The following is a 24,702-nucleotide window of genomic DNA, read 5'->3' on the forward strand; positions in this document are numbered from 1 at the left end:
AGTTGGGAGGGTCAAAAGCAAAATAAAAGCCACTCCAATAAATATAATCAGTGAGAAAAAACCGAGTTATAATCCAACTTTTTTTTTTTTCTTTTCTGCACCTTCACCTAACCTGCACCGTTTCCCCTGAAACTCTGACCATTAGATTTCTTTCCTTAGGAGTGGATATGATGTACATATTATCTGTATTGCATAGGATGGATTTCAAATATTATTTTACTTATTAGTCCAATAATCAGTTCTAAGATCATATATATAATACTTATTAAACTTTATTGGAGTTATTTGTGTAGCTATTTCTCTGCTTTTCTATTTAGATTGTGATTACCTTGAAGGCAGACGGTGTAATTTGCCATACACATTCCTCCATGCAATTACTGTGCTTGGTTTATGACTGAAAGCACTCAGTAAATATCTGCAGCGTTAATCTGAATCTAGATTCAGTGAAGACCAAAACATGGACCTCTGTTTAAAAAGGACTAATTCAATGATGGTTTTGGGATACATCGAGTGCTACTTGCTAACAGAACACTGGTTTTCCTGGAAGCAATGTGCTGGGCTAAAAACTCTATTTTCCAAAGTCCTCTCTGCAGCTTCGGGTAGCCATTAAACACAGTTCTGGCCAAGGAGATGTAGGTAAACATTACTGGGTGGGGCTTCCAAGAAAACTGTTGTTCTTCTGATAAAAGAAGGTACAAATTCAGCTGACAGAAGCCTGTGGTTTTTTGCCCTTCCTCCTTTTTCCTTCTTCCAGTTTGTACCACAGATATGGATACGATGTTTGGAATGATAGAGCTATCCTGAGATCATGAAGATGACATGAACACACATTAAAGTTAGTAGAGCTGTGTGCATTTCTGAGGTGCTGTACCAGCCTCTGGACTTCCTGTTAAATGAGAAAAATTAACTCACGTCATTGTCAGTGTAGCTGGTTTCTGTTGCTTAGAGCAGAATGCAATCCCTGGCTTTGAAATAATTAGTTGAGGCTGGGCACAGTGGCTCACGCCTGTAATCCACCACTTTTGGAGGCCGAGGGGGGCACATCACCTGAGGTCAGGAGTTTGAGACCAGCCTGGCCAACATGGTGAAACCCTTCCACTACTAAAAATACAAAAATTAACTGAGCGTGGTGGCGCACGCCTATAATCCCAGCTACTCGGGAGGCTGAGGCAGGAGAATCACTTGAACCCAGGAGATGGAGGTCGCAGTGAGCCGAGATCGTGCCACTGTACTCCAGCCTGGGTGACAGAGTGAGACTCCATCTCAAAAAAAAAAAAAAAGAAAGAAAGAAAGAAAAGAAATAATTAGTTGAAAGATTGATGAAATAAGTGGATTTGAGTTTAGTGTTCTCCCCAATAAGTCCTCACTCTTAACAGTAAAGCAGAAATGGAAAAGAATATGGATGGCAAATTATGAGTAAAGGACAGTACCATCACATGACAGGAGAGCAAAGAAAATGGTAATAGCTACAGTATCAGCCTCATTTCCTTTCAAATTGTTTTCCAGTGGTTAATGCCAATCATTAAACTCAATGTTCATCAACCGTTGTGGTAGAACAATAGAGTACATACTGACATTTCTGAAAATGTTAGTGTATACTTTAAAATGTTACTGTATACTTTATTGTTCTAGGGATCTTAACATATGTTGAACCTAGAATTCTGTCATCAAGTAAGTTTAGGGAACAACAAGCCAAAGTTTTACAGGATTTATTACTGCAGGACGTCTCCGAGCTTTTAGCACTGTGAATCTCCAAAGAAAGGTTTTATAATTATTCTTTCTCAAAATAACTTGTCCAAGGATTTGTTTCTTCTCAAAGCCATTTGAGGAACTAATGTTAGACAAAAATGCTTTAGGAAACCTTGGGTAACCCTATCAAATTCTTCCAACGATGTGGCTACTGTGTCCCAAGGAGCAGAGTTTTGCTGTCCTTGATGGGTCTCTCACATTAAATGCAAAGATGTCTATCCAGGTTTTTAATTCACATGTATGGACTCCGTAATGTACAAGTCATAAATTAAGAAGGACACCCACCCTTGAGTAATGGACAGAAGTAAGCCATTTTATTTTTCTCCCTCAATACAAATTCATGTTTTGTTATTCAGGAAATACCTCTTTAGAGTGGGACTCTAAATGAACCAGAATCATGGAAAGTACTCAAGAAGAAAAAAAGGAAGACTGAGTGTATTAGTCCATTTTCATGCTGCTGATAAAGACACACCCAAGACTGGGTAATTTTTAAAGAAAAAGAGGTTTAATGGACTCACAGTTCCACGTGGCTGGGGAGGCCTCACAATCATGACAGAAGGCAAAAGGCACATCGGTGGCAGGCAAGAGAGAGAATGGGAACCAAGGAAAAGGGATTTCCCCTTATAAAACCATCGGATCTCGTGAGACTTATTCACGACCATGAGAACAGCATGAGGGAAACCGCTCCCATGATTCAATTAACTTCCATTGAGTCCCTCCCACAACACGTGGTAATTATGGAAGCTACAATTCAAGATGAGATTTTGGTGGGACACAGCCATACCATATCACCAAGTCACATGAAATACTAGAAATACCATGCTTACAAGTTACTCTATTATAACAAATTATACTGATACAATCCCAGAAGTAACATATATGAATTTCTATAGAACAAGTGTTCAATAGAACCCACTTTTGGAGATGTTAGCTTATTGATAAGATGTTAGCTTATTAACCACAGGAATTGAAATAGGAATGAGACTGGGAACGATACCCATTAGATAAACATTGTTTGCATTTAGTGACTAGCCATTACTGAATAAAATGGAACCATTTTCAGTGTCTGGGGGTATTAGAGAGTGCTCTATGATCCAAATGTGTTCTCAGCAAAGCTGAAGCAGCCAGACTGCAATTACAAGGAAAAGGCTTCCTCATTCCACCTTCACTAGACAGGTGGAGCAGCAGATTGGCTTTTCAAATGTATTCCCCTGTGAAGATGGTCCACAGATGACCTATACCTCCTAAGCTCTGAACACTCCCTGGCAGTAGGCCACGCAGTGTCTTAATTCTTTAATGAAAGGAGTAACATGTGCTTAAAGGTCTTAAGAGCTTCAGGAGACATGAAGTTCCTAAATCCACAGCCCATTAAGCAGACACTGACGTTTGTGTGAAGTCCCTGACAGGCCTGCTTAAGAGGATTATTAATGCTCCATCCAAAGAAACGTTAAGTGGGAGGACGAGAGAAAGCTTAAGAACATGTCAGAGATTTCTTTAGTTTTGGAACTCAACCTTTTTTTTTTTTTTTTTTTTTTTTCTGAGACAGCCTCCTGAGTAGCTGGGATTACAGGCGCCCACTACCATGCCGGGCTGATTTTTGTATTTTTAGTAAAGACAGGGTTTCACCATGTTGGTTAGCTTGGTCTTAAACTCCTGACTTCAAGCGAGCCACCTGCCTCAGCCTCCCAAAATGCTGGGACTACAGGGGTGAGCCACTGCACCCGGCCAAGGCATACTAAATGTTTGCTGGGATTTTATTTATGTTATTCAACGTCTCTAAGCATCAGTCCTTTCCTCATCTTTAAAAAGAGATAAAAATACATGTTATGAGACTCTCAGAGTGTATGAAAATGCTCTGAAAAGTATAAAGAACTCTTAAAAAGGAAGATCATATCTCATAAACTAGTAAGGAATACACACATCCATTTGTGAAAGAGACAGTATGTAAATAAGACGAGGCCAGAAGCAGTGGCTCACACCTATAACCCTAGCACTTTGGGAGGCCAAGATGGGAAAATTGCTTGAGGCCAAGAGTTTAAGAGCAGTCTGGTCAACATAGCGAGACCCCATTTCTTTAAAAAAAAAAAAAAAAAAAAAGGGAAGGAAGAAAAGAGGTAAGATGTTGAGAGAATTCCATTCAATTCAACCAGTCATTATGAAAAAAGAGCCAGTTACTAAATGATCTAAATCACGTAATCACCAAGCCTTGGGGTAATCCAGTAAGGGACACTACATAAACTCACATCCAAAATTAAGGGGGCACTATTTACATTTACTCTGGGACAAAAGTATCATCTAGATGCTGCCTGGCAAACAGAATGCACAGCCATCCCCACAAGTGTAGCCACAGTGGCTGAGCCTGGGCTCGGAGACCAATTGACGGCAACCATTTCCAAAATCCACACTTAGAACTTGGTGACCTGGGAGACATCATTAAACTTGCTCTGTCTTGGTTTTCTCATCTGTAAAATGGGGATAACGGACCCATGCCTTGATGCTGATGTGACATTGCATATGGAGCATTCAGAATAGTGCCTGGCATTAGCAAGAGCTCAATAAAGTTAGTGGTCATTCCACATCTACGCCAGTCATACACACACACACACTCTAAATTCCAACAAGTCTACAGACTTTCTAGTGTGATCCCACAAGCCCCACCGGCAGGCATGGCCCAGCACTTGCAAATGAATCTCCACGAGGCGTGGCAATCTTTTCTTTGAAACCTGCTCCTTCACACTCCCATTTCTGCCTCCCCATCCTGGTTTCTGAACTCATTTTGGCATGCAGGGCTGCAGTGCCAGTCTGGAATCTTGCAATGCCTTGTCAGGAAATACAGCAAAATCCTTTGTTATCAGAGCAGGAGACAGAATGACTGGATGATTAACTTCCTATAGTAGTGGTCTTTCCCTGTGAGTACGGCTGTGTCCATCTGATAGAGGGGCCACTATTTTACTTCTAATTTTTAAACTTTTGTATATGAAAATAATAATGTGTTAACATCATCTTAAATGCAAGCTGTGCAAACATGTTCCTGAATACATTTCCTCTTGTCACATTCTGTCCTAAACGAAACCCTAAGTTATTACAGCTCAACAGAAAAAGATTACAAGTACACACTAAACTACTTTCTGTTGAACTTGGAATCATGATAATGGTTATCCTGATTATAAAAAACAACAGCTATAACAGTTAATTTTTATTCACTGCATACTAAGTGCTAGGCATTTTTCTAAGCACATTATGGTCATTTTATCCCTAACAAATCGGTGAAGTAGGTACTATTATTATTATTATTTTTTTGAGATGGAGTTTCACTCTTGTTGCCCAGGCTGGAGTACAGTGGCGCGATCTCGGCTCACCGCAACCTCTGTCTCCCGGGTTCAAGAGATTCTTCTGCCTCAGCCTCCCGAGTAGCTGGGATTACAGGCGCCTGCCACCATGCCTGGCTAATTTTTTGCATTTTTAGTACAGAAGGGTTTCATCATATTATCCAGGCTGGTCTCAAATTCCTGACCTCAGGTGATCCACCCACCTCAGCCTCCCAAAGTGCTAGGATTACAGGCGTGAGCCACCGTGCCTGGCTTGCTTTTATTTTTAGTTGACACACAATTGTGCATATTTATGGGGTAAAGTGTGATATTTTGATACATGTATACAATGTATAATGATCAATTTAGGGTAATTAGCATATCCATCACCTCAAACACTTATCATTTTTTTGTGTTGGGAACACTGAAAATCCACTTTCCTAGCTATTTGAAAATATACAACATACTGTCAATTACAGTCACCCTACAGTGCTACAGAAAACTAGAACTTATTCCTCCAATTTAGCTGTAATTTTGTATCCATTAACCAACCTCTCGTTATTCCCCCTGGCCTCCCCTTTCCAGCCCCTAGTAACCACTATTCTACTTTCTACTTCCATGAGATCAACTTTTTTAGCTTCCACATATGTCAGAATATGGTATTTGTGCCATTTTTGAGCAAGCTGCACCATGCAGTTTTATTTAATTAAAACTCGTACATCTTTTTTTTTTTTTTTTTTTTTTTTTGAGACAGAGTCTCGCTCTGTTGCCTAGGCTGGAGTACAGGGGAGCAATCTCGGCTCACTGCAAGCTTTACCTCCCAGATTCAAGTAATTCTCACCCCTTGGCCTCCTGAGTAGCTGGGATTACAGACGTGTGCCACCATGCCCAGCTAATTTTTGTGTTTTAGTAGAGAGGGGGTAGAGATGGGTACAAACGGGGTAGAGACCAGGTAGAGAAGGGGTTTTGTCACGTTGCCCAGGCTAGTCTTGAACTCCTTGCCTCAAGTGATCCACTCACCTTGGCCTTCCAAAATGCTGGAATTATAGTTGTGAGCCACCGTACCTAAACAAAATCCTTATACATCCTTTTTTTTCCTTTGAGATAGTCTCACTCTGTTGCCCAAGCTGGAGTGTAGTGGTGCAATCTTGATTCACTGCAACCTCCACCTCCCAAATTCAAGCGATTCTCCTGCATTAGTCTCCCAAGTAGCTGGGGTTACCGGTGTGCGTGACCGTGCCTTTTTAGTAGAGATGGGGTTTTGCCATGTTGGCCAGGCTGGTCTCAAACTCCTGACCTCAGGTGATCTGCCCGCCTTGGCTTCCCAAAGTACTGGGATTACAGGCATGAGCCACCGTGCCTGGCCAAAAACCTCATACATCTTAACAGACACAGGTTGTTGTTGTTTTTCTTCAGCCCAGTTTACTAAAGCTATACAGACTTTAAACAACCTGTACATCAGAACCATCTGACCCTCATAATGCAACAAATCCCCTCCAGAAGGAAATCACCCAGGCTGTTCTGGGACCAGCCACCTTACTTGTTAATGTTGCTGCCTTCTTTCAGTCGCTCTCCTGCAGCTCCTGTTTTAGATACTCTTTCGCTACCCGCCAGGTCTACCAAGCTGACCTTACTGACTTTCTCCCCGGAATTCTAGTTATAGGAAACGAGAGAGAGAAGAAAAACTTATCAATAAAAACCACATGGATATCTACATATATGTTAGCACTATAATTGAGCAATCCATCCCACTCTCATATGGCAAATTTCTTAAGTTTTTAAACGGTCAGAAGAGTTATTTGAACCAGCAATTAATTTCATAGTTAACATTTAAATAGGCGTAGAAATGTAGCATTTTGTTTTGCAGCTGGGTAGCAAGTACACCCAGCTTTCTGGAATACAGTCAGAAAGCTGGAGATTTAAAATGCCTATGAGGAGATATGAGGACATGAGGATTTCTGCACATTCAAGTCAAATCCTTCTTCCTTTGAAAAAAGGTTTAGGCTAAAGGTTGTGGTGTCCTCTTTAATATCCCTCAATGGCTATGAAGCTGACATGTTTCCATGGGAATTTCAGCATGAAAGGATATATATTAAAAGCTGTATGGTGATGTCATCACACTTGTTAGGGACTTTGCACAAGAAATACAATTATTTTTCTTTTTTGTTTTTGTAGAGTCTGGGTGTTGCTATATTGTACAAGATGGTCATGAACTTCTGCCCTCAAGCAATCCTCCCGCCTCAGACTCCCAAAATGCTGGAATTACAGGCAGGAGCCACTGCACCAGGCCAAAATCCAATTTTTTAAAAAGTCAAATATAAAGAAAGACCTAACAAATTAAATGATAAGCAAAGTAGCTCACCTAGTAAGCAGAAGAGCCAACATACAATTCTCAGCCACTGAACCCAACCATGAAAGACTTTACCTATATGGACACTTTCAGTTCTTCCACCCCCACTCCAAAAAGGTTCTGCCTAATCCCTTACCCCAGACTGCAGGTCATAAAGTGTCTGTGTGATTATGATGTTGAACACAGCATGGGAGCGGCTGCTTTCTTCGTTCATGTTGGTAGCAGCTACCGTTCGAGACTTATTTCCCTCAGACATCAATGACTCAATATCCTAGGGGCAAAGCATAAGGAAAAGACCATAAGCAAAAACACAAGAATGTAGTCCTGCACACCAGGTATATGTATTAATTATGATTCCTCTGATGCCTTTGTCACCACCCTTCCATAGAAACCTCCCTGCCGCTCCTCCATTGAGCATGGTTTGAGCTTCCACCTCACTCAAGACTTTGTAATGTATGAAATGTTTCCCTAATTCTTTCCATTTCCCAATTGTCTTCTTTCTCAGTTGAGTCCCTATTTTCTCCTTTTTGGGTTCCTGGGATAGCTAATATTTATTGAGCACTCCGATAATCAATAATAGCAGTGACTTGATTTAACTCTTACTCTCCTGTGCTTACCAACCCGCTGATGCCTGCCTGTCTGCCTCCCTCCTCCAATACTGTGGCTCCCTGATGGCAGGGTTTTTTCCTTATTCCACTTTGTACACTTGCTCCTAGAATGCCTAGAGCCTATGGGATCTTATGAAATATTTGCTAAATGAACTTTATTTTCTTGCTTTTACATACAAGGATGCTGAAGTTCGTGGAGGTCAAGCAACTTTCCCCAAATCCAGTAAGAGGTAGAGCTGGGATGCAAATAGAGCACCCTGGCTCCTACTAGTAAGTGACAGGATAACATCAACACTTACCTCAACCACACTGAGCTAAGAACCAGGGACCTCAGTGAAGGAGCTGAGTTAGCACCTTTAGACCAAAAAAGTATCCATTCATTTCAGAATCGAAACCTTTTTAAAATGATCACTGTGCTCTATTTCCGATTAGAGCAATTCTATATATACCTTGATTTAAATGGCTGGAGAGAATCACTGCACAGATTAGTTTTAGCCATACTAAGTCTGGGGTGATAATGGGCCAGCCACATCCCACAAACAGCACAAAGTAAGTGCAGGGATTTGCTTGTTTCTCTGTGCATTCACTCATTCATTCACATCCTTTAGCAACAGAGATAGCAGTTTGTGTTATGAGATTTCCAAAGCAATCACTATAGAAATAGAAGCAGAATCTTGAGTCAGATCTTAACAAGGCATATAAGTCAAAGAGTAAATAAAGTAAAACAGGCCGGTCAATGGCAAGAGGAGTGATTCAGAAAAACAGGAGAGCCAGAAGTGACAGAAACCAAGGCAGGAGACCCTGCCAAAAAGAAAGGGCTGTACTAACTGCCAAATACTGTTTAGAATACCACATGTCTAGAAGGATGTCACTGGCATCATTGGGAGAACAGTTTTAACAGAGTAGTATTAGTGAAAATATGCAGCAACCTGAAAACACTGGGCCTCCCGGCCATACTGTAAAACCTTCACAACAAAGCAGCTTGAAGAGTGTGATTAAAAGCCCTTTTCCTCTCTGTTTGCGGTGTGCTGATACTGGGTTTCTGAGGCCCTGAGTAGTATCATTCTGCTATAAAGCATCCACATAAAATATACTCAGTATCACTTACATACTTTGATTTATAGTCAGCTTTTAATCACATTTTAAAAAAAATGACTTACCTCAAAACTAGTGACAGCTAGTTGAGATAAACCATCTACATATGGTCCCAAAACTTTATGTTCTCGAACTTTAAGAGACTGTCTACTCCTGCGGGAGGGAGGAAAAAGGAATAAATGAATCACACCAAAGCTGGAAGCTTTTCTTTCTCTTTAAGTACACAGTAACTAAGATAACAATTTCAAAAGAATTTTTAAATGACTCCTCCCCCCAACAAATCTAAAAGCTACTTTATTTGGATTAGCAAAACAATGTTTAACATGAGAAATGTGTTTTATGCTCTGATTTCTATTTAAAGTATGTTACTATTTTAAACATTCTATCTCTAGTCACAAACCTTCCTGGGTTAGGCTGTCAGTTATACTTTGGGGAGGATTGGGGGAAAAAGGGAACCAAAAAACATGCCAGATCAAATCAACCTTTCGGCTATTTCATAAATAAGCATATTCTCAGCAGATAATGTCTTAAAATGGTATTTATTTTTTGAGACAGGGTCTCACTCTGTCGCCCAGGCTAGAGTGCAGTAGCATGACCCCGGCTTACTATAGCCTCAACCTCCCGCCCAGGTGATTCTCCTACCTCAGTCACCCACGCAGCTGGGACTACAGGCCCATGCCACTATGCCTGGCTAGTTTTTATATTTTTTGTAGAGATGTGGCTTCACTATTCTGCCCAAGCTGGTCCTGAATTTCTAGGCTCAAGCAATCCTCCAGCCTCAGCCTCCCAAAATGCTGGGATTGCAGATGTGAGCCACCACCGCCCAGTCAAAATTTTTGAATTACTAGTAGACAGTATTAAAACATTTAAACTCTACTTCAAGTCTGCATTGGTTTATGCTACTTCTATGCTTACACTATTTTATACAGAAAGTGAGATTATAGTACAGAGTTTGTTTATAATTACTGACGTTTGTACTATATTTAGAATTGGTTCTGCTAATGAAAATTTTAAAGCTCTTTTGAATTTTTAAATGATAAACCTGGTTTGGAACCCATTTCAACAGTTTATCAAAAGACAATGGAGATTAAAAGCAAAGCTATGTATATACTGACCATATTGTGCACACCATCTTTTTCAGGGCATCACATATTAATCATCTTTCAAATTAAGAGTCATTGCTTAGCATCACCAATATATGGGAAAAAGGAGCTAAGAAGCATCACTGAATGCATCCCAAAGTCCTGGCATTGTTCCCTGAAGCACTTTTCAGTTATGCCGTTTCATTTCATAACATCCCTACAAAGTAGGCTTTACCACCTTTATTTTAAAGACGAAGAATTCAATGTGACAGTGAGCTACTTAGATGCACACGATCCAGTACACAGCTTACTCTGCTTGCCAGAGATTCTATAATGCTATTCAGCAGCAAGAAAAAGCAAACCTAGCATTATACCAAGTGCCTGTGATGGTGTCCAGTATCTGAAATTCTTGTACACTGCTGGTGGGGGTGGAAATTGGTACAACCACTTTGGATAACAGTTTGCGCAATTAAATAAAATTGGAGATTCAGTATTTTGTGACTTACAATTCCACCCCTAGATGTGTTACCTAGAAACTCCTGCACCTACCTATACAGCAGGAAACCTGTATAACAATGCTTTCAGAGCAGCACTCTATTGATAAAAGCAGGAACCACACAAAAGACAGAGAAAGTGATGAATTATTGATGTAACCATGCAATGAAATGCTAAGACAACAGTAAAAATGTATTAGCACTTCATATATAAGAATAAATGAATCACGGTGGGGGGAACAAATCACCAAAGAACACATATATTATGATGTCATACAAAGTTAAAAATTATGCAAAATTATTTGTAAATGCTAAAGAAGAGGAAGAGAATGCTAAACACAAAATTCACAATAGTAGTTACCTTGGGGAGGGGTAGAAAATGGATCCAAGGGGAACGTATAGTGAGCTTCACAATTATTGGTCATGTTCCATTTATTTATTTATTTATTTATTTAATTTTAGCTAGAGTACTTTTGACTAAGTCATGTTCCATTTATTAAGCCAATGTAGGTAGGCAGTTGTTTTTATTACTCTTTATGCCTTACAGGTGTTATAAATGTTATTTTGTATGCATTAAATAGTTAACAGCTTCTTAAGAGTAAATATAAACATTTTCTTTGATTGGGTCACTTCCTTGTCACTCATAATTTTGGTCAAAATGCACCAAAGTGTAACAGTGGTTATTATTATTGAGATGCAGTCTCACTCTACTGCCCAGGCTGGAATGTGGTGGCATGATCTTGGCTCACTGCAACCTCTGTCTCCTGGGTTCAAGCAATTCTCCTGCCTCAGCCACCTGAGTAGCTGGGATTACAGGTGCCCAGCACCACGCCCAGCTAATTTTTCTATTTTAGTAGAGACGGTGTTTCACCATGTTGACCAGGCTGGTCTCGAACTCCTGACCTCAAGTGATCCACCCACCTTGGCCTCCCAAAATGTTGGAATTACAGGCATGAGCCACTACACCTGGCCTTAGTGATTATTTTTGAATGGTGAGATTATAGGTCATTTTTATTTCTTCTTACACCTTACCTATTTTTCAAATTTTCCATAAATAGATACTAGTTTTAAATCAGTATAATTTTTTTTTTTTTTTTTTTTTTTTTTTGAGCTGGAGTCTCCCTCTGTTCCCCAGGCTGGAGTGCAGTGGCGTGATCTCAACTCACTGCAACCTCTGCCTCCTGGGTTCAAGTGATTCTCCTGCAGCCTCTCAAGAAGCTGGGATTACAGATGCCCATCGCCACACCTGGGTAATTTTTGTATTTTTAGTAGAGATGGGGTTTTGTCATGTTGGTCAGGCTGGTCTCGAACTCCTGACCTCAGATGATCTGCTCACCTTGGCCTCCCAAAGTGCTGGGATTACAGGTATGAGTCACTGTACCCGGCCCCAAATTTTTTAATTGAGAAAAAGTAAATGGCCCCCCTTCCTCTATGAATCAGATAAATATATTTTTAAATCACCTAGTTAAAAAAAATATAGATCCCTGGGTTTCACCCTGGGTCTACTGAATACAGTCTCTATGGGTGGACATCAGGCAAGTGGATGCTTAAAACGTTCCCCACATGATTCCAATGCACAGCCAGGGAAGGGCATTGCTTGCCTTGGCTGGGATGTTTCAATCCTTCAACCCTTTTACCCTTAACACATTAGTGCCACTTTCCAATGTAAATGGAAGAACTAATGTGTTATTCCTAACTCAATTTTTGTGAATAGTTCATGGTGGCAAAAAAAAATACCAATAGTAAAAACATCTTTTCAAAGGGCATACATAGGCAACTTTATACATTAATGTAGGATAAACACTGGGTATACCAAAAGGCTTTGAGAAGCTGATGATTTTTCTGTAAATGAATGAAAACCAGTGTAGTCACCAAGAGCTTAAATACGTATATTCACTTCCAATTTTAACTTTAGAATCATTTAAAATTATCTCCCCCTATTAACACACTTAATCTTGACCACTAACTTACCCTTTGGGGTCTAAAAGATCCCGAACTTTCTCATTATAAATTTCCATATAGGACACTTCAACTTTAAAGGTCTGTGACTCATTTTGCTCCAAAGAGATCCTTTTAAATAAAGCACAGCAGAGCCTTGGAATAAGGCCCAGCTGCTCAGCATGGCCCATCATGGAAAAGGATTTTCCCGAACCTGGAGAACAGCAAGGAAAAAGAAGAACAGGTAGAGGAGGGAGCAAAATGCAATGCTTCAACCATACAAGGTTTCCCCATATACTGGCCATGGTAACATAGCAGAAGAGTGGCCAACTTAGCCTCAAACCCTGTTGCTCAGGCTGGAGTGCAGTGGTGTGATCATGGCTCACTACAGTCTCAAACTCCTGGGCTCAAGCCATCCTCCCACCTCAGTCTCCCAAGAAGCTGGGACTACAGGTGTGCCACCACGCTGGGCTAATGTTTTTAGTTTTTATAAAGACGGGTCTTACTATGTTGCCCAGGCTGGTCTCAAACTCCTGGGCTCAGGAGATCCTCCCACCCCAGCCTCACCAAGTCCTGGGATTATAGGCATGATCCCCCACATCTGGTCTATAAAAGCAACTTCTTACCTGTCTGTCCATATGCAAAAATACACGCATTATACCCCTGAAAGGCTTTTTCAAGAATTCCTTCCCCAAGGCACTTGAAAACCACTTCTTGACCTAAAAAACAAGACAAATATTAAAAACTAATAAAAAGAATAATTTTTCTTGACATATTTGTGTTAGTAACAATATTATGTCAATTCAAAAAAATGTTAAAAGTGTAGTACCGAGTGCCCACTAAGTACAGGGCTGTGTATTAAGAGCTTGATATATGCAATTTCATCCACACTTCTAAACTACAGCTCAGTACCTGGATACACTGTTTCCCTCTAAGACACTTCTCTAGATATTAAAGTTTTCTTTCCATTGTGAGTGGGCCATATGGAAGCAGCATTCAAATTTGGTTGTTTTTTCTTATGACTAATATCTACAATGTCATTAAACATGAATTGCCTTATCTCCCCAGCTAGATTCTGAACTGCCACTGAACAAGACCATGTTATACACACCTTGGTATCTCCCTCAGCACCTAGCTTGGTGTTTTGTACATGCCAAGTGCTAAAAACCGTTAGTTGCTGAGGATGGATTGACAACTTCAGCTGCTGTTTGTAGATTCACAGGCACCCGTCACCTGTGTCCCCACAGCGGGAGTGGGGGACAAGTTCTCTTTTGTGAATCTCTGTATCACACTGCAGCTCTTGGGGGCATTGTGTCATGTACTATACTATGGCAGAGCGGGGCTGAAGAGTAAAGGAGTGACAATCTGTTTTAAACACATAAAAGGACAGCATTTGCTACCCTTTGAATTTGGTGATTTTCTAATATTCATTCTGTATCACTAAGACAATTAGACTTATGTTCTCCTTCCTGTCTTCTTATAGTCCTTAGAACATTCACTATTACAGCATTTGCAGAAACTACTAGTTTAAGTACCTGTTTCCTCCACTGGCATGAGAGCTCCCTGATGCCCAAAACTATAACCTGCTTATCTTCATAATCCTAGAGCCTAGTACAAAATGCTTAATAAATGTTGAAAGAATGAGTCAATTTAACATTTTTATCTTACATGATAGTTCCTTTTACATTTGAAAATAATGTAACACAACATGAGCTTTTGGTTTTATGTTTTTCTTTTATGGAAATTTAGATCTGATTTTAGGAGTCTCTTATTATACTATGATATATGATGACTGCAGGATGAGACTCTTAAAAGTGTTTCAACACAAAACGAGATAGTATTTGTGATATGGTTTAGTTCTGTGTCCCCACCCAAATCTCATCTTGAATTGTAATCCCCACGTGTCAAGGGAGGGACCTGTTGGGAGACGATTGGATCATGGGGGCAGTTTCCCCTATGCTGTTCTCATGATAGTGAGTTCTTACAAGATCTGATGGTTTAAAAGTGTGTGGCTTCCTTTGAGTTCTTTTCTCTCTCTCTCGCTGCCATGTAAGACGTGCCTTCCTTCCCCTTCACCTTCCACCATGATTCTAAGTTTCCCGAGGCCTCCCCAGTCATGCGGAACTGTGAGTCAATTAAACCTCCTTTCTTTACAAATTAGCCTGCCTCATGTAGTTCTTTACAACAGTGTAAAAACAGACCATACAATTTGCAACCATTAGGCTGGCAAAAAATAAAATTCTGACAACATCAAATATTGCTGCATTGAGGAAATAGGTATTTTCATAAGCTGCATATGGTGGGAGAATAAACGCATACAGACATTCTGAAGGAAAACTTGACAGCATCTATAAAAGGGAATATGCCTACACTGCCTGACCCACTGTGAAGCATCTACTCTAGAAACACATTCCCAAAAAGGACCCTGTGAAGGATGTTCATGGCAGTGTTATTCATAATACTGCAAATGGGAATCAAGTTAAATGCCCGTAAGTATGAAAGTAAGTAAAGTGTGACTGTTTTATATGATGGAATATACTACATAACATTTTTAAAAACAATAAACCCCCAACACCCACATCTATGTGTAAATAATGCTCAAATTAAAAAACATTAAGTGAAAAAAAAGCCATGTTCAGAACTGTGCATATAATGTAAAACCTTATGTCAAATAGTTATGTGTGTGTGTGTGTGTGTGTGTGTGTGTGTGCATGCACGCATGTGTGTGTGTGTGTGTGAGAGAGAGAGATCTACAAATGCTAAAGTGTAAAAAATGGATTGGAAAAAATATACCAAATTTATGTAACTTTATTTCTCTATTGCTAACTTCTACCATCTAGCATAGATGTTTGGTAACTTCCACCAAACAAGTTGGTGGAATATGTGGATTTTTTAAAATGGGTGTAATCAGAAGAAACTTTTCTAAACACCCAGGTCTGTTGTGAAGAGTACCTTAAGATCTGTATGCAAATACGTGTATATTCAGAGAAGAATAAGGTATAATCAAAATTATTATCTGCTTCACAAATTGCTTTTATGTTATAGTCAAGTATGATAGTCTTGTGCTCACGAAGAAAATACCTGACCACTCTGGTGCATGATCTTTCATACACATTAATATTTATTTCTCATATGTTTTCTCAAAGGACCTTCCTTATTCCACGTATGTTCCCAAGCCCCTTGCTAAAAGGTAGGCCTTAAATCTGGAGCCAAGGCCTATATCAGAGAAGACCCAGAATTAAATCCAGCCTGTGCCCAGGCTTATTAGGATTGCTTGTGGTCCTCAGCCAGACCTAAGTGCCATTTGAAGGCATTCTAAAAGCAATACATTCTTGGCACAAGCAGCTGATTGGAGCAATCCTGTTTGATCTTCCACACTGGTTAACCAGCCCCCAGGAAGGGAGTGGGGTGAGGGTGGGGACAAGAGACTTCAAGAGTTGGCTAAGTCAAGCATCCTGACCATAATTCATGATTTCAATTCATATTTAGTAACTTGAAAAAAAGCCCAACAGCTTGAGTTGATGAAAGGACTCAATTGCAGAGAAGTACTGTGGTCAAAGAGATTTTATTATGGCTTCTGAGAGCCTAAAGTTAATACCTAGTATATCTATTCCTGTATCAGGTAGTAAAATGTGGTACTTCTGGTTTCTGCTCCTGATGCTGAATACGCTGGAATTAGGAGGAATTATTTTCCTAGGTTCTTTCAAGAGTAAATCACAATGTGTCTTTTTCCTTGGTAGGAATGGCCTTTTAAACTAAAGATTGTTAGTTGGAAAAACAAGGATGACTGCTATATAGTTGTATGAAGTAGGTTTATGATGTAAATGAAACAAACCACCAGGATGTGTATACTAAAATTGCAAGAAAAATAAATGAAATGATCAAAGAACTCCCCAGCATATAAAAATACAAGAGTAGGCCAAGCATGGTGGCTCACACCTGTAATCTCAGCACTCTGGGAGGCCGAGGTGGGAGGGTGGCTTGAGGAGAGGAGTTCAAGACCAGCCTGGCCAACAAAGTGAGACTCTGTTTCTACAAAAAATGTAAAAAAAAAAACCAAAAAAACAAGAGTAAATTTTAGTTTAGTGTATGACCAAATTGTTGCAAATACTAAACAGGACATGATTTAACCTATTAAACTTGTATTCTTTTATTATTTATGCTACTAAGGAAAAGCAAAGATAATTTTTATCAACTGTCCTGCTGGCAATGTATTTTATATATATATATATATATTTTTTTTTTTTTTTTGAGACGAGTCTTGCCCTGTCACCCAGGGTGGAGTGCAATGGTGCGATCTCGGCTCACTGCAACCTCCACCTCTCGTGTTCAAGTGATTCTCCTGCCTCCGCCTCCTGAGTAGCTGGGATTACAGGTATGCAACACCAAGCCCGGCCAATTTTTTCTATCTTTAGTAGAGACGAGGTTTCACCATATTGGCCAGGCTGGTCTCGAACTCCTGACCTCGTGATCCACCCGCCTTGGCCTCCCAAAGTGCTGGGATTACATGTTCTATATTATTGAATCCTCACAATACCCAGGTAGAGTAGGTATGAATTATGACTGATAAGCTGACTGGGGCTTGAAATGGTTAAGTCACTTGCCCAAGATCTCATTATCAGTGAATGGCAGGGTTTGGGTCAGCTTATAGTGACTCCCTACTGTCAAGGCTGATTCCATTCATCATCAGTAATTCATGCTGCATGACACTGGCAATCAGTTGCTCTCACCTCTGGTCTCCAGGATAATTTTTACAGACTGTCAGAACTCATTACACTGCACAATTTTTTTTTCTTTCCTTCTGAGATGGAGTCTTGTTCTGTCGCCCAGGCTGGAGTGCAGTGGTACAATCTCAGCTCACTGCAACCTCTGCCATCTGGGTTCAAGCGATTCTCCTGCCTCAGCCTCCTAAGTAGCTGGGATTATAGGGGCCCACCACCAAGTCCAGCTACTTTTTGTATTTTTAGTAGAGACAGGGTTTCACCATGTTGGCCAGGCTGGTCTCGAACTCCTGACCCTAGGTGATCTGCCTGCCTTGGCCTCCCAAAGTGCTGGGATTACGTGTGAGCCACTGTGCCTGGCTGGCACAATTTTTTTTTCATGTTCACCTTTACTGCCAGATTGTGAAAACAGTAATTGCTGCATCTTAGTAGAATGCCTGGCACACAATAGGCATCTGTATTCACTGAATTATTCCTGTGTTGATACTGCTGTTTTCAGAAAAATGTATTTTTAATTGGGAGCCTCTTCCCTCATCAGTGACAATAAGTTATCAGAAGACTGTTGTACTCCAGCCTGGGTGACAGAGTGAGACTCTGTCTCAAAAAAAAAAAAAAATTATTCTTTGAACTTAAAAATAAATGTTTAATTGTATTAGTTTACACTTTGGTCAAAGTATGACTGTTTTTGAAATTCTAATGAATCCCATAAGACTACAGTAGGCCTTTGTTAAATAAGCCAATGGGGTATGAATAAATGCGTCAACACACTATGTAGGTACTAATTAGGTAATTTTGATAAAAATTACAAATCACTTTTTTACTAATACCCACCGTATCCTCCTGGACATTACAACAAAATATATGTGACAAAAAAATAAAAACTAGTCTCTCTGATTTCCACTAAATATATACATGTGATTTCAAATATAGTCAACTTCTTTTAGTTACAGTTATTTTTGGCAGATAAAATAGAATTCAAATTTATCATATTTAGTAAAGTTTTATTCATAATTGGAAAAGAAAAAATCTGAGAAAAACAACATAAAAAATTGAAAATGATTATACTACGTTTCTGAAAAAATTTTTCATTCTCCATGTATTTTTACAAATTTACACAAGATTGGAGTCTAGAGAGACTGGAATACATTTTATTACTATGGCTTTGTGTCTCAAAGACAATGCATTCTGTTTTAAGACAAGAAATAATGAACATTTTCCCATCTCTACAAATATACATCAACATTAGCATTTTTAACAGGAGCTCAGCTTTCCATTGTATGAATAATGGATGCAATCAGTTCCCTACTATGGATATTTAGATTATTTCCTTTTATTTTTCTGCAATGTTTATTCTTACATGTTTACCTCTGTGCAGTTTCCTATTGACTTTACTAGGCAAAACTTCAAAAAATCAAATCTCCAAGTTCTCTAAAAATGCATTGGTCTCTACTTACAACACTCTCAACAACAATCCCTGTGATCATTCTTCTTAGTTCTGACTGAGTCAGTAGGAAAGAAAAGCCTCTTGTTTGGATAATTTTTCTTCTATTTATTGTTCATTTGTATTAACACTTTAGTAAGTTGACTATTTAAGTCCTTGCGCTAGCCATTGCTTTTCTTCTCATTAATTTTAAAATCCTCATTACATATTGAGGATATTAACCACTGGTCTATCTTATATGTTATAAATATTTTTTCCCAGTCTGTCATCTGCCTATCGGTCTTACCTTATTCTTGGTCATACGAAAGCTCCTGGTCTTTCATATTCAAATCTTTTCTCTTTTCCTTCATGATTTCTGCCTATGATATGTGCTATGCCTCACAAATCCTTTTTCACCCCCAAATTATATAGAACTCACCCATATTTTCTTCTAGTTTTATTTTTGTTATTATTTATTTTAGTTATTTTGGAGACAGGATCTCGCTTTGTGTCCAGGCTGGAGTGTGGTGGCGGGATCACAGCTTATGGCAGCTTCAAATGACTGGGCTCAGGTAATCCTCCTGCATCAGCCTCCCAAACAACTGGGATTATAGATGTGCACCACCACTGTTTTTACAATTTGACTTTCAAACCTGAGTTTTACTTCTTACCAGCTATGTGACACTGGGAAGGTTCCCAGTTTATCGGTAAAATAAGACTAATAGTTGCTACCTAAGTGGGCTACTGGGATGGTTTAATAAACCAATATAGGTAAAGTACTTACCATAGTGCGTGGCCAGTATAAATCTAGAATATATTTTAGTTATTATCTATTATTATCATCTCTTAAGTCTTTAATCAACTATAATTCATTTTACTGCAAAGAAAAATTATCTAGTTATTTTTCCTTCAGATGGCTCCTTCATTTTTGCAACAATTTTGTGGCATAATCCAATTTCAAAGATAAAAGGAAAAAGGTCAGGTGTGGTGGCTCATGCCTGCAATCCCAACAGTTTGGGAGGCTGAGGTGGGAGGATCTCTTGAGGGCAGGAGCTCAAGACCAGCCCAGGCAAAATAGTGAGACCCCTATCTCTACAAAAAATAAAAAATTAGCCAGGTATGAGCCGGGCATGGTGGTTCATACCTGTAATCCCAGCACTTTGGGAGGCCAAGGTGGGTGAATCACGAGGTCAGGAGATTGAGACCAACCTGGCTAACATGGTGAAATCCCATCTCTACTAAAAATATAAAAAATTAGCTGGGCATGGTGGCGGGTGCCTGTAGTCCCAGCTACTCGGGAGGCTGAGGCAGGAGAATGGCGTGAACCCGGGAGGTGGATGTCGCAGTGAGCCGAAATCGCGCCACTGCACTCCAGCTCAGGCGACAGAGCGAGACTGCGTCTCAAAAACAAACAAACAAACAAACAAACAAAAAAACAAAATTAGCCAGGCATGGTGGTGGAGGATTGTTTGAGCCTAGGAGGTTGAGGCTAGAGTGAGCCACGATCGTGCCACTGCACTCCAGCCTGAACGACAGAGCAAGACCCCATCTCTTAAAACAAAACATTAAAAAGAAAAGATACTTGTTCTTAGAAAGATTTCTGAAAGGAACCAATTATCGCTATTTTTCTAGCTCCCACAGAGGTCCCATTTAAAAAATATTACCGACCAAATATGATGGTGGTGACTCTCACATTTAAGGGGGTGGAGGACAGAAAGGGTGGGGTGTGTGTTTGTGTGTGCATGGACATGATGAGATGAAGGAACAGTATCATTACTGGGGCCAGGGTATGCTAATCCATATTGTCTATTATAAGAAAAATACTTTCTTTTTTTTTTTTTAACACTGAGAAGGGTACAGGGAAAAAAAAAACCCAATATAAAAAACTATATCAGCAAAACTGTGAGTGGGACAGGTTCTAGAGTTCCCCTTATTCTGCCCTTCTGGTGCCTTTTCAGCTGTGTGAACTCGTGGCCGGAGTTATACTTAACCAATTCTTCGGTTTGGTGACCTTCAGGGCACCACTGGTATAGGAAAAAGAACGATAAAAAAGGCCAAATTGTCAACCAAAGCCTAAAAAGGCACTATGACTGTTGATACAGTCTCTGTCCTCTCTTGCAATCAGCTGTCAGTGAAACACAGATGATGGCTACACTTCATTCTGCAATAGAAAATATGAAATATCAAGAACCCTCATATGGTCTCTTGAAGAGACCCTAGTTTATCCAAAAGACCGAAGGATTTTTGTTTTTTTTGTTTTGTTTTGTTTTTGCTTTGTTCACTTCTATTTTTTAAACACAACAGTCCCTTTTCTCAGCATAGGAAAAGACGACTTGCCAACTGCTTTTTGAACCTCAGTTCATGAAAAAAGGAGCTGTTTACGCTGAGTGGTGGGAATCAGGGAATTCAAACAGTGCATGGGTGGATCCCATAAAAGACGCAATATCTCCACCCTAAACGTTTTCCGACTAGTTTACACTCAAATAGAATGAGGTGCTATTTGTCTAGGGGAAAGCATACCAGCCCATAAACGAAGGTTCGTTAAGTCCCGTGGGAAGCAGGAGGATCTATGAGTATTTGTTTCTATCCCAGACAATCCGAGCAGAGCCATAACATTGTCAAATCCAAGAGGCCTGTGACTTTTCAGCAGAACCGATGCCAAAAAGGCGGTGGCCACTCTGCAGATGTTAGCTCCACATGCCTGGTGCAGCAAATTCACAGGGCAAGCCTGACCTCACTTGTTAATAACCATGACCACAATGCCAATTTCCTCTGGGGTTTATGATTAGACCTTCTATAATCATGTGAACAAGTCTTAAAACACAGGCATGCCCAAAGTAACCCATAACACAATGTCAGAACAACAGAGAGAGCTCCTGTATGGAATTTCTACAAGCAAAGTCACAGACCTGAGTCACCCAACCCTGAGTCACATACGATATGAATCTTTTTCTTTTTTGAAAGAGATAGGGTCTTGCTCTTCCACCAGGCTAGAGTGCAGTGGTGTGATTATAGCTCACTACAGCCTCTAACTCCTCGAGGTTCAAGGAATCCTCCTGTTTCAGCCTCCTGAGTAGCTAGGACTACAGGTGTGTGCCACCACTTATGGCTAATTTTTTATTTTTATTTTTTAGTAGAGATAAGATCTTGCTATGTTGTCTGAGCTGATCTTGAGCTCCTAGCCTCAAGTGAGCCTCCCACCTTGGCCTCACAAAGTGCTGGAATTATAGTCATTGTACCCAGCCTGACAGAGATCTTTGAAAAGCTAACACCCTTGGGTGTCCACACTTGTGCATAATCTGTCCCTACTTAGAACAGCAGCAATAGGCTCAAAGCCACCATGTGTGTGTACTGGGAGATGGGTAACCAAGGCAAATCTCTTTCTATAGCAAGAAAGAAACCAGGGATGGAAGGAAAAATGCAGCTATCATTCCTACACCCAACATCTGATGACTGAAGAGGCACAGGATAAAAGAGTCACAGTGGGCTGTGTTCTAGAAAGTGAGAGAATGAAATGGGAGGATATACGCCCTATCTTGTTTAAAATCTGCATTAAACAAGGCAGACACCTATGGCCCATGGCTGAATAAAACACTAAGCATGGTGATGCACAGATCAGACCTGGCATATGCACAGAGTATTTCTTGTTTTTCTAAAGTAACTACATAGAAAAGCATCCAATATTTGAACACGATCAATAATTTCATCAGTTTAAACTGAGCCCCCAGTTTTCCTTCCTTTCCCTATCTCTTCTCTTTGGAATCAGAGTAGAGAGAGAGAGGAAAAAAAAAAAATAAAGGCTGGGCTCACTATTTATGACTTGGAATTCCTGGGCCTACTCATTTGTGAGGGTGTTTTTTCACTTCTAAACAGGGCTGACAGGCACAGCGATTTTGATGAGTCTGGACTTGGCAGGTGGCCCAGCTCCAAATCAGAGCACCTGGACAGCGCAAGACCAGACAGGTTCTTCTCACATACCTGAAGGGGTGAAGAATGCCCAGCTTGGATGAGGTTTAAATAAATTCCTTTCTCAAAAATCTTTGGTGTATGGAAGTGCAGCTTTCAAAAATTCTCATATGTAGTGATTTCAAACCTGGTTTAAGTTAAATGACCAAAAACTACAGAGTTCAGATAAAGAAACTGAAGCTGTAAGGCTTGACTTGGTATTGCTAGATTTAAGTTTTAATCAACTACAGAAAAGTCTACCATTGAGGTGCCTGGTAAGAAGATCCCAAGAAACCAGGCCATGAGGGTAATAGACCACGGACACATTTTCCACTGTAGCATTCAAAAGCTATCAGTGTTAGTCTGGAAGTCTGGCTTGCAGCATGGCACGGCTGACTCATCCAGATGGATGTTTCCACCACAGCAACAGCACTGGGGCTGGCCATGAGCATGGTCTTTTTTTGTTGCTGGACACAGTGGCTGATTCACCAAGGAGGAGGTCATGCAACCACTGCCCTGGGCACTGGTCTCGAGAATGAAGAAAGAATATAAAGCCACTCACCTGTGAAGAATGTCTTACAGAGAATGTGTGTTGGAGTCATACAGGAGGGTGTTTCCCATAAAATAACTGCTGACAAAGTAAACCTTCATTTCTATCTTATTTGATGGTGTTTTACACCCCCTCTCTCTGACAAAGAAGCAGACCCAACTCAACATCTCTTCTGGATTGTGGGCTGCACAATATTTATAGTATTTGAGGCGAGGTTAAAACAAAGCCCAAACCAAATATAAGGATCCTAGAGAACTTCTGACAGGAGTGAGGGTAACTTTAGTAGTATTCCTGGCTAGGTTCTAAGCCAGAGCACTTCAATATGACTTCCTTAGGAGTCATATTGAATGACTCTTCAGGATGAGAGAGGAGAGGAGCACCATAGGCTGGAGTAGAATCCATAAAATTTTCACCAGCATACATGTCATTAACTAACATCCACATTTACCAATGCTTTCAGTGCTCTCATAGGGAGCAGGGCTTCGCTAAACCTCAGTTTTCTTATCTGTAAAATGGGGGCAGTAATAGTTTCTACCTGACTGGGTGCTTTGACAATCTTATCACCTAGTGCATGTAGAGGGATCGGCACAGTGCTTGGGATTCAATGCTCAGGGTTGTACTATCTATTGCTATTGTTATTCACCCCTCTAAACACAAGTTAAATGATGTTTCTGGGTCCAACAAACACCCTAAGGAACAAATGTGGACAAAGAAAGGGAGGTATTGAAGAAAATGGGATTTGATAGGATAAAAAATAGGTGAGTAAAGGGGAGAACAAAAAAGCAGCGCATATATATATATATATATATATATATATATATATATATATATATATATTTACACACACACATATATATACACTTAAAAAAATTTAACACGATTAGCAAAGCTCATTTATTTTTTAACATCCTTTACAAGAAAAATTTTTCTTAACTGACCTTCTTATCCAATTCTCTGGATTACCCAACATTCTCTCTTCCATCTATGAAATGCCCCCTGCATGCTAAATCACCCCAGCTGGGAGGCTACTCTCTGGACTCTCACCAGCTGAGTTATGCTTGTACAAAGGGTCAGTTGTATTTGCTCCTAAACTGTTCTATGTCAGTTGTACTTCTCTGTAATTACATAATTTAATTAACAAATGCAAAAAAGAGGGCTGCTGATTCTAAGAAAACTCTAAATAGAATGCTTAGGAACAACTTGATAAAGGTGAGTCACCAAAAGAAATGACAAATTGAGTATGAGTGAGATAATTTATAAAAGACCATAAAAGAAAAACAAAAATCTGGGAGGATTTGGCATATTTTTTCATAAATGTTTTTTAAAATGGCATGCATCATTTATAATGAATCCCTACTTTAACAAACTGTTCAAGTAGCAACTACTAGCATTGCTCATAACTATAGGGAAAACTTTTATGGTTTAAACCCAATAGCTAACAA

At 39.9% G+C, this 24,702-nt stretch overlaps 1 protein-coding gene and 1 long non-coding RNA gene across 5 annotated transcripts in view; one reads left to right on the forward strand and one right to left on the reverse strand.

Moving 5' to 3' along the window:
* Positions 1-24,702, reverse strand: part of KIF13A (kinesin family member 13A) — a 228,510-nt gene that overhangs the window by 83,654 nt on the left and 120,154 nt on the right. For all 4 annotated transcript variants that reach the window (NM_001105568.4, NM_001105567.3, NM_001105566.3 and 1 more), the window contains exons 5-9: positions 13,251-13,343; positions 12,658-12,838; positions 9,176-9,263; positions 7,544-7,678; positions 6,598-6,710 (exon numbers count right to left, since the gene is read on the reverse strand). In NM_001105568.4, the coding sequence (NP_001099038.1) occupies positions 6,598-6,710; positions 7,544-7,678; positions 9,176-9,263; positions 12,658-12,838; positions 13,251-13,343 (610 nt within the window). The remainder of the gene's footprint in view (positions 1-6,597; positions 6,711-7,543; positions 7,679-9,175; positions 9,264-12,657; positions 12,839-13,250; positions 13,344-24,702) is intronic.
* On the forward strand, positions 7,655-10,760 carry LOC105374953 (uncharacterized). The gene is made up of 3 exons (XR_001744007.2): positions 7,655-7,742; positions 8,196-8,285; positions 10,252-10,760. It is a non-coding gene; the product is annotated as an uncharacterized LOC105374953 (long non-coding RNA).

The sequence above is a fragment of the Homo sapiens genome, chromosome 6, assembly GCF_000001405.40.
Source record: "Homo sapiens chromosome 6, GRCh38.p14 Primary Assembly".
Taxonomy (NCBI): Eukaryota; Metazoa; Chordata; class Mammalia; order Primates; family Hominidae; genus Homo; species Homo sapiens.